The sequence below is a fragment of the Homo sapiens genome, chromosome 5 (assembly GCF_000001405.40).
Source record: "Homo sapiens chromosome 5, GRCh38.p14 Primary Assembly".
Classification (NCBI taxonomy): Eukaryota; Metazoa; Chordata; class Mammalia; order Primates; family Hominidae; genus Homo; species Homo sapiens.
The window spans coordinates 5116442-5127117 of record NC_000005.10 but is presented as its reverse complement, the minus strand read 5'-3'; the positions used below and the strand labels follow the sequence as shown (position 1 = coordinate 5127117).

At 37.8% G+C, this 10676-nt stretch overlaps 1 pseudogene, besides 1 other annotated feature; it reads right to left on the bottom strand.

The window, feature by feature from the left end:
* Nucleotides 781-1072, bottom strand: RN7SKP73 (RN7SK pseudogene 73; annotated as a pseudogene).
* Nucleotides 9968-10017: an enhancer, noted in NCBI's record as "active region_22322". NCBI's record gives its function as "activates an Ori minimal core promoter by ATAC-STARR-seq in GM12878 lymphoblastoid cells {active_cell/tissue: GM12878}" and the evidence as "EXISTENCE:reporter gene assay evidence [ECO:0000049][PMID:35858748]".

Here is a 10676-nt window from a genome sequence, read left to right as displayed (position 1 = left end):
TTTATTTTGGTATGTTTAAACTATATTGATTAATATATAAAACTAAAATTTAAATTGAAAGTGTACTGATTAATTCAAATTTAGAGTATTTTGTTGAGTATGTTTATATAAATAATAATAAGAAATATTTGTCAATTGTGTATTGGGGGGTGTCTGTGTGTTGTCCCTAGACATACTGTAGTGTAAGACCTAAAAAGGGTCACTATTATATGCTGTCTTGACATCTGGTAAAATTGACAACCTTCCTTTTCACTGGGATGAAGCAGTGTCTGCTTATTCCTGAGTAGAAGATTTCAGTCTTCTGCCATCTCGTGGAATCGTTCAAACAGGCCAATCACACCCTCCCATGGGAACAGGGGCACCTCATCCTCTTGATACTACAAAGTCTTCTCCACAGCCCTTGTTGTTCAGTCTGTTCCAAGTGCAGCCCCACGTGACCTTCCATGGAGTGCAGCGTCCTCCTCCCCAGGCTGTGGGTGTAGGTGACTAATAAACGTTCCCCTCTGCCCAGCACCATGTGTCATGCACTTGGCCCTCCCCATAACCTTAGGGCAGGAATTCCTCCCTCACCAATGGGGCAAAAAAGAAGCAATTAAAACACGTTTGCCTCCCTTTTTACGTTTTGTTTTTGGTGCTTTAGCCACTTGTAAAATTAACTGGACATTTTCCCAAATGATTTCTGTGTTCTGGAACATTTTAAACAAGTGAAAATTATCTGCTTCTTCATGATTTGACAAAACACTTGTACAATTATTAGAGTCTGATTTATTTTTTGGAGGAAATTTTTTGCCTAACTATTCAATGTGTTTTATTGTTAATGGCCTGTTGTGCCTTCCTCCATCATCTTAAGAGCTTGTTTGGAGGTTTTAGCAGGGGAGCATAATTACTCACGTAGGTTTGACTGAAGACCAGTCCTCTTCTACTGGGGTTGGCTGTCCTCTTGGACTGAGTGTGCAGCTTTGGGAGAGATGCACATGGAGCAGTGAGGGATGAAGGGGACATCTAGCTAGCCAGCCAGATCAGCCCAATCCACCCTGGTGACACATGTTGCAGCCAGATTGCCTTCACTTCCTCTCCGTCTTCTTGAAGCAGTTTTTCAGTTTATGTTCTCCTATAAGAGAGTTCCTTTCATTGAGATCTTCAATCAGTTTAGAATAGTTTCTTACTTTTTTATTAGTCTCTCATTAATCATGTTTAATTATGAATAATTATCTACTTATTGAGAATCCACCATGGAGGTTCCTTCCCCATTAAGCTTATTACTCAGTGGGAAAGACAACATTGAACAGTTAGTTTCAATGTTTCACTGATCACATATTTTGAAGAAATACAGAGGGCTGTGTGAATGGTTACTGTGCCTTATAATTTTATTTTTGCACTTTATATTTTATTAAGAATATATTTATTAATTGGGCTCTTTTCCAAACACGTTGCAAATTCATGATAATATATTTAATGTAAATACATAAATATATGTGTCTTTCCTATCTACATTTATAAATATTTTCATCCACAGTTTTTTGGTTTTTTTTTCTGCAGAAAGGGTCTTCCTCTGTTGTGCAGGCTGGAGTGCAGTGGCACAATCAGCTCACTGTAGCCTCAAACTCCTGGGCTCAAGCAATCCTCTTCCCTCAGCCTCCCAAGTAGCTAGGACGGGAGATGCATGCCACCATGCTCAACTGATTTTTCAATTTTCTGTAGAGATGGGGCCTTGCCTTGTTGCCCAGGCTGGTTGCAAATTTCTAGCCTCAAGCAGCCCTGCCGCTTTGGACTCTCAAAACACTGAGATTATAGGCGCAAGCCACTGCACCAGGCCTACCCCCAGTTTTGATCAGTAAAGTCTTCATTCTTGTCCATGTGTCCTCCATTGTGAAGTTAATTTTCCCCAATTTAATGTTTGTTAAATTGGGGTTTCATCTTAAAACCTAAATGTATATTTAACATAACAGTGTGTTTTATCACACCTCCTCTCTATCCTCCTCCATCCTCATCCCCAATCCCTGCAAAGAAAACCCCTGTCACTGGATGTTGGAGCCACATCAATGACATTGTAGAGTACAGGTATCTGGCATCTGCTTGAGTCCTGATTCTGTTCTTTGTAATTCGGAAGCCCATTACGTATGTTGTTGAGCATCCTTTGCTTTGTATATAAATTATCTCCTGGCATTAATTTGATCTTTCTCTTCTTTTGTTTCCTATATTACTTAACTTGCATTAAAGTATATTTTTTGATTTTTCTGAGTGTCGATTCCTTTTTAATTTGCTCCACTGTGTTTATACAGTTTGCTTCTGCATATTTAGTTTTCACGACAAAAAAAGTCTCTAAAAAGTCTCTATTAACTGAGTAAATCATTATATGTTTTTCACCTTCACTTTTAGCTCATATTTTTTAGAACTTCATGCTCTTGTATCAACAATTTAGATATTTAGCCCAGAACACGTCAACCACTGTACCTCACAGAGTGGAGGCCAACGTGGAGTGAGGAGTTCCCAAGGCAGAGGAGGGAAAATCTTGAACTGAAGTCAAACTATCATGGGTGAGGAACACTTGGGACAAATAGTGCATGTTTGACAATTTATATCTGCTCCTTACATTACCAAAAACATCAACTTGGAACAGAAATTGTAAACCACAGCTTTTTTTTCTCTCAGACATGTCATGTTGTGATCTGACACGTACTTTTGCAGAGGAGAAATCTGGAAGCAAGTTCGGATTTGTTATTTTATTGGTAACCCCTTTTGCTCTTCCGACTGGATCCTCATAGGATTTTCATGTGTCTCTGACCTTGTGTTTTTCAAGATGTGTCTGGCTGTGCATTTTGCCATTCATTTTGCCTGGAACAACATGAACTTTTTTGAGCCCTACACTCAGTTTTGCTTTGTTTTCCAGCTTTAGAAAGATCTGTATACTTATGTGCTCATTATTGAGGACGTATAATATTAAATGAGTAGTGTCTAGCATTAAAAAAGATAAGCTGAGAGTTTATACAACTGTTGAAACCATAAAATGACAAAGACAATTACTCTAAAAACTATATATGCATATGTATCTTTAGCTAAATGAGGTTAATAAAAATGGTACGCTTCATATTGTTCACAATAATTTCAAGGATCAGAAAGGGAAGAAGTGGCGGAAAAGTGAAGTGAAATTCTATGAAATTCTGTCTTCCAGATGAGGGAATACTGTTTTATTCATAACTGAAAATCAGAAATAAACTAAAATCCTTTTGAAAAGTCAAAAGAAATATATTGTTGATAAAAAAGAGCAGAATATATTATAGAAGTAAATAGACATTGGCTACTTAGAAAAAAAGCCAACTGTAGCAATAGAAAAATTAAAATTAGAAGGCATAAGATGAATAGAATATCCAAAAAAACTTAATCTGTTATACGCAATAGCTTAAATTTGTTTATTACAAAACAATGTCTTAGATTTTGTAAAGAATTGAAATTAACAATATACTCTTAAAATACACACATACTGCAAATGAAAACTGAAATATAAAATTAAATTAATTGTTCCACTAATATTAAATTAATTTAAAATATTTTTTCAGGTAAGTACATAGCAGGGAGAACAGGATATGAGCATGGATGCATTTCTTGAGCTTCAAAAGTCTTCATGTTTCCATCTGTGTAGTGGGCATGATAAAAATACAATCCAACTCAGAAGGCTGTTATGAGAATAGAATAGATTAATATTTGTAAAGAACTTAGAACAATACCTGGAACATAGGAACTGCAATGTAAGTTTAGTAAAACTTTAATATAAATGAAATTTAATACATTTAAATGAAAAATAATACAAATTATTAAAAAATAAAACAAATGGGAAAAAATAGCTGGCAGTATCCGATCAGTAAAGACCAAATTCAAAATCAACATGAACATTTTCTTTGCTCTAAATGTTGCTTCCAAATCTGGTTGATTTACATGGGAAATAGTTCCAGTGATCCTTCCAGGATAAAGATTGCAGCTCTTGAACAGAATTTAGCATTCCTGCATCCCAAAGACCACAAACTGCACAGCAAATCTGTTGTGACAAATCTGATTCATTTTTCCCATATCGTATCTCATTTGTAAGTACCTTGAACGAATGGGAAAACTTCCCATCAGATTCACAAAAATTATAGGAGAAGACAACCCAGTCTTAATCTTTGCAAAAGCATATGGGAAAAGTCTGGATTATTTTCAGAGATAATGAATATCATCCATGATGTTGCAAATACCACAGTTTATGATGTTCTTCATGCCCTGGGACAGATTCAAGTGGAAAACTTTGATATGTACAGCTAATTAGCATCAAGACGCCATTGTGAAGTGATTTTAGTTCAGCTGTCCCATTCTATCTTCGAGAGATGAAAAAATTCAAGTTTCCAAATTATGAAATTCCAACTTGGTAAGCATACGATTTAATTTTATGGAGTAAGACCAGCGTACTTATAATAACAGTATTGTTTCTTTTATGAACAAAATTAATAGTGTGTAAAATCACTAGAGTACAAAACTCTAATTAACTTCTGATAACTGAGCAATAATTTCTCATGAGAAATTTCAATGCCTAATTTTCACATCTTAATAATCAAAATAAAAATGTCTCAGTCTCTATCTTTTTCTATCTGTCCTCTCAAAAGAACTGATGAATTTGACTATTGTTTCTGAAATATCCTTAAACAAAATCAAGCTTGATAATGTACATATCTGATAATTTCCTTTAACGTAATTTAGAATGTAAAAAACTGCATATATAACAATTAAAGCAAAGTAAATCAATGGAATTGTAGATGACACTTTTTCAAATGCTATCTGACTTAAACCTTTAACATATCTCTCTAGCAAGGGCAGACACTCTGATTGTGAATCACTAATTTGGACATTGAAAAATCACTGTGTATAAAAAGCATTCTTGGTGAAAAACAACAGGCCTGGGGAAATGTCATTCTCTTTTTTTCCTATCCCTTCTGAGTCATATGGTTTGACCATACTGATGTGTTTTTCTCAGAGGAGATAATCACTCCCTATCCCCTCACTCTAGTTTATGTTCTTTATCACTCTTCTACTGCCTGGAATCACATAACATAATTGTTCAGTGCCCTGTTGATCATTTGCATTCCCCCTAGAATGTCTTGATCACTGCTGTATCTCTTGTACTCAGAGAGTGCCCAGCACGTGGTGAGGTTGAATACCTGTTAGTTGCCTGGATGATGGAATGGGTCTACATACAAGTTTCCTTTTTGCCTTTTATGATATTCAAAAAAATCCATGGCTATTATTTTCCTGGAACAGTAATAGAAGAGCTGATATCCTCCAGCCTGTCCTCAAAAACTTCAAACTCTGCTTTCATGATAGGCAAAAAGTAGGAGCTCTCACTATGTATTTTAGTGGTGCAAATTGTTGAAAGAATGACCTTATTTTTTCTGCCCAGAAACACTGTGGCTGGCATAGAAAGCCCTCAATTGCCAGTGGAATGCTTATTAACCATGGACATTCAATCTCTGTACCCCTTCTCTCATTCCTTCCCTCAGCAGTCAGCACAGAGTAGAAGAGAATTTAGACCTTTATATTTTAGGACATGAAGAAAGTTTAAGCCTTTATTTATTTATTTATTTATTTATTTATCTTTACCAAATAGCCAGACTTCAAGGAGATGTTTAAGCCTTTCAATTCAATGTATGCCGACATATTTTTAAATTATTTGGGCTGCACCTTTTTCATTCTTTAGGATGGGATGACTAGAAGTGAAGAAGGGTTAATCAGGTTCCAGGGAAGGAACTAAACAAGGGGAGGCCTAAGTGGGCTTTCATACCTCAATAGGCACTTGGCAAGGAGTCTGGCACTGCCAGTGAACAGAGCTGGGCCGGAGGAACAACAGATCAACACAGAGCAGCACAGCAAAGCCACGGGACAGGAGTGGTTAAAAGGCTGGGGTGGCACGAGCACGCACAGAGGCAGGTGCTAAGAGCGAAGGGCAATCAAAGCACCAGAGGAGCATGCCTTGTCCATTGTCAGGACCATGTAGGTTAGGTCAATTTCAGATATGCTAGAATTAACTCTCAAAGAACACAGTGAACTCATTCTCATTCAGCTGTAGTCTTTTGTTAGAGTGGAGTAAGGATCAGCTTAAAGACTCAAGATGATAGAGCAGAGGCAGCTCCTGATCACCACTGTTAAAGAGAGGGGACAAAGTGATGAGTAAACACTGATCCTGGAAGCTGATTATCTAAGAAACCATATGGGGATCCATCAAAAGAGTGAGGGGAGAACAGAGAAGAATGAAGCTGAGTAGCTGCCTATCTGGGATTGGTATGGAGCCAGGAGAAGCTCCTCAACATGGGGAAAGGGTGAATGAGTGAGAGCCCCCACGGGATCCAAACTTTCCACAAGGGCCTGTGAAATGCTGAGAATGAGAGACTCCCTCTAAACCTCTTTGCCTCTAGACCAATAAAGAAAGTGCCTGCAGATTTGTGGAGGCAACACTCATGTCTGTGGGGCCCCACATGGGCCTTGGGATCTGGAGAAGCCTGGTGCCAGTGCCATAGCCCCCATAGCGGCCACAGTGACAGTGCCTGGAAGCAGTAAGATTGCTCCACAAACCCTCACTAGACAAGGCTCAATGACAGCTTCCAGGAAACTGGTCCTGCTTCTGCCTGAATTTTGTGGTAAGTGCAGCCCTGTGTTTCCCTAGAAAGAACCGGAGAGCAGAGCGGACAACTCTACCCACCCTCCCCACTCCTAGTTGAATGGGTCATGCCTGCTGGGACTTCCAGCACAGTGGACCCACTTCTGCCTGAACTCTGCAGGTGGGCACAGCCCCATGTTCTCCCAGGAAGCACTTGGATGTCAGATGGTGGAACAGATGATTCCACCCACCCTCATTGCTCCTAGCCAGTCAGGACTCACTGGCTTGGGTGGCACCCAAGCAGGAGGGGAGCCCTCACTCTCAGAACACTGAGAGAGGTGAGACACCTGGGTTTGTGGATTGGTGGAGGTTGGGGCATACCTCCCTCTGCAGAACCAGCCTGGAAAGGGCATGGCCTGTCTGCCAACCATGGCTTCTGCCTGAAGGATCCCCATGGACCAGAGCACCTAACAAAGAAAATATGGGTGCAGAGCCAGTGACTGGTTGTAGCTCTTTCAAAGCCCAGAAGCAGACCATGTGAGGGGGATAATCTCTCTTTCCCCTACCACAGAACACTTCTGCCAACTGCGCCAAAAGGCTAAGAGCCTATCTGCTGGCCAATACTCTTAAGTGCCACCGACTGGATTGAAGCCCACAATACAACACCAAAATATGCTGCCAGTATACAGTGCCTGTGAAAACTAAGAAAAAAATCCAGCCACAGATAAAGATTCTGCACAGTCTTGACCTTCTACAAATACCCAGAAATAAAGCCAACTGACTATACTCAACTTATACCACAGTTAAAGGAGCACCAGCCCTCATAGATGAGAAAGAATTAGTGCAAGAACTCTACCAACTCAAAAGCCAGTGTGGCTCTTTACCTCCAAACAAATACACTAGGCCCCCAGGGAAGGTTGTTAACGAGATGGAGATGATTGAAATGGCAGATGTGGAATTCAGAATCTAAGTGGGAAGGAAGATCACCAGGAGTTAGCAGAAAATTGAAACCCAATAGATCAAGTTGGGGAAACAATCTCAGAGCTTGAAAATTGGTTCTTCTGATCAACTCAGTTAGACAAAAATGAAGATAATTTCAAAAAATGAACAAAACCTCCAAAAATATAGAATTATGTAAAGAAACCAAATCTATAACTCATTGGTATTCCTGAAAGAGAAGGAGAGAGAGTATAGAAAATTGGAAAACATATTTGAGGATATAGTCCATGAAAATTTTCCCAATCTTGGTAGAGAGGAGGACATAAAAATTCAAAAACTACAAAATAACCCTTGCAAGCTACAAGATGATCATGAGATCCACCAAGGCATAGATTCATCAGAATTACCAAGGTCAATGCAAAAGAAAACATCATAAAGGCAGCTAGAGAAAAAGATTAGGTTACCTACAAAGGGAAGCCCATCAGACTAACAGCAGACTTATTATAAGAAACCTTACCAGCCAAAAGAGACTGTGGGCCTATTTTCAGCATTCCTACAGAAAAGAAACTCCAACCAAGAATCTCATATCTTGCCAAACTAAGATTCATAAGCAAAGGAGAAATAAAATCCTTCTCAGATAAGCAAGAACTAAGGGATTTTGTTACTACCAGACCAGCCTTACAAGAGATCCTTAAGGTAGTGCTAAACATGGAAATAAAAGTTTGAAACCTGCTACCAGAAAAAAACACAATCAAGCACATAGCCCAAATAAAATATAAAGAAACTACACAATCAAGTCTACAAAACAAACAGCCAACAACATAATGACAGGATCAAAATCATGTATATCAATGTTAAACCTTAATGTAAATGGTCTAAATGTCCCCACTTAAAAGGCACAGAGTGGCAAACTGGATAAAAAGTCCCAGCCCTCTGCTGTCTTCAAGAAACACATCTCACTTTGTGATAACACCCACAAGCTCAAAGTAAACAGAAAAAAAAAAAAAACCAAACCGAAACAAAACAAACAAATAAACAAAACTACAGAAAGATTTACCATGCAAATAGAAAATAAAGCAGAAGTGTCACTATTCTTATATCTAATAAAACAGACTTTAAACAAACAAACAAAAAACAATCAGGAAGGATAAAGAAGGGCATTACATAATGATAAAGGATTCAATTAAACAAGACGTAACTATCATAAATATATATGCACCTAACACTAAAGCACCCAGATTAATAAAACAAGTTTTTCTTGACCTATGAAAAGACTTAAATGGCAACAGAATAATAATGGGGAACTTCAACACCCCACTGACAGCACTAGACAAATTATTGAGGCAGAAAACTAACAAAGAAATTATGAATTTAAACTCAGTACTTGACCAATTGGACTGAATAGAAATCTACAGAATACTCAATTTAACAACCATAGAAGATACGTTCTTTTAATCTACACACAGAGAATATTCTAAGATCAATCACAAGCTTGCCATAAAGCAAGTCTCAATAAATTTAAAAAAAGGTGAACTCATACCAAAGACACTTTTAGACCACAGTGCAATAAACATACAAATCAATACCAAGATCTTTCAAAAATACACAAAAATGTGAAAATTAAACAACTTGTTTCTGAATAACTCTTGGGTGAACAACGAAATAAAGGCAAAAATCAAAAAATTATTTGAAATTAATGAAAATAGAGACACCATAAAATCTTTGAGATGCAACTAAAGCAGCATTAAGAGGAAAATTTATAGTGCTAAATGTCTGCCTGAAGAGGTTAGAAAGATCTCATATTGATGATCTAACATTGCACCTAGAATAAGAAGAAAAAAAGAGCAATCCAACCACAAAGCTGGTAGAAGAAAACAAATAACAAAGATCAGATAATAACTTACACAAATTGAGACCCCGAAGTCCATATAAAAGGTCAATGAAACCAAGAGTTGGTTTTTCAAAACAATAAACAAGATTCATAGACGGCTAACTAGATTAACAGAACAAAAAATGAGAAGATCCAAGTAGATGCAATAAAAAATGACAAAGAAGACATTACAACCAATCCCACAGAAATGCAAAAGATCCTCAGAGACTAGTAAGACAACTCTATGCACACATATTAAGAAATTGAGAGGAAATGGATAAATTTCTGGAAACACACAAACTCCCAATTTTGAACCAGGTGGAAAGTGAAAATCTGAATAGACCAATAACAAGTTTGAAATTGAATCAGTAATAAAAAATAAAACTGTATCACCCAAAAGGAGCCCTGGAACAGATAAATGATGTGGTTTGGCTCTGTGTCCCCACCCATATCTCTCCTGAATTGTAATAATCCCCACATGTCAAGGGCAGGACCAGATGGAGATGACTAAATCAGGGGTGGTTTCCCTCATACTGTTCTCATGAGTTCTTGCAAGATCTGATGGTTTTTAAGGGGCTTCCCCCTTTGCTTGACACTCATTCTCTCTCTTGCCACCCTGTGAAGAGGTGCCTTCTGCCATGATTGTAAGTTTCCTGAGACCTCTCCAGTCATGCAGAACTGTGAGTCAATTAAACTTCTTTTCTTTATAAATTACCCAGTCTTAGGTATTTTTTCATAGCAGCATGAGAATGGACTAATATAATGGATTTACAGCCAAATTCTACCAGACATACAAAGAAGAACTGATACCAATCTTACTGAAACTATTCCAAAAAAAAATCAAGGAAGAGGGACTTCTCCCTGACTCAATCTATGAAGCCAGCATCATCCTGATATCAAAATCTGGCAGAGAAACAATGATTAAAGAAAACATTTGGCCAATACCCCTGATGATTATAGACACAAAAATCCTTAACAAAATACTAGCATCCTGGAGCACATCAAAAAGTTAATTCACCTTGATCAAGTAGGCTTTATTCCTGAGATGCAAGATTGGTTCAACATGAAAATCAATAAATGTGATTCACCACATAAACACAATAAAAAACAAAGACCATATGATCATCTTAATAAATGCGGAAAAAGCCTTCAATAAAATCCAACATTCTTTTATGATAAAAACCCTCAACAGACTAAGCATCAGGGAAACATATCTCAAAATAATAAGAGACATCTATGACAAACCCA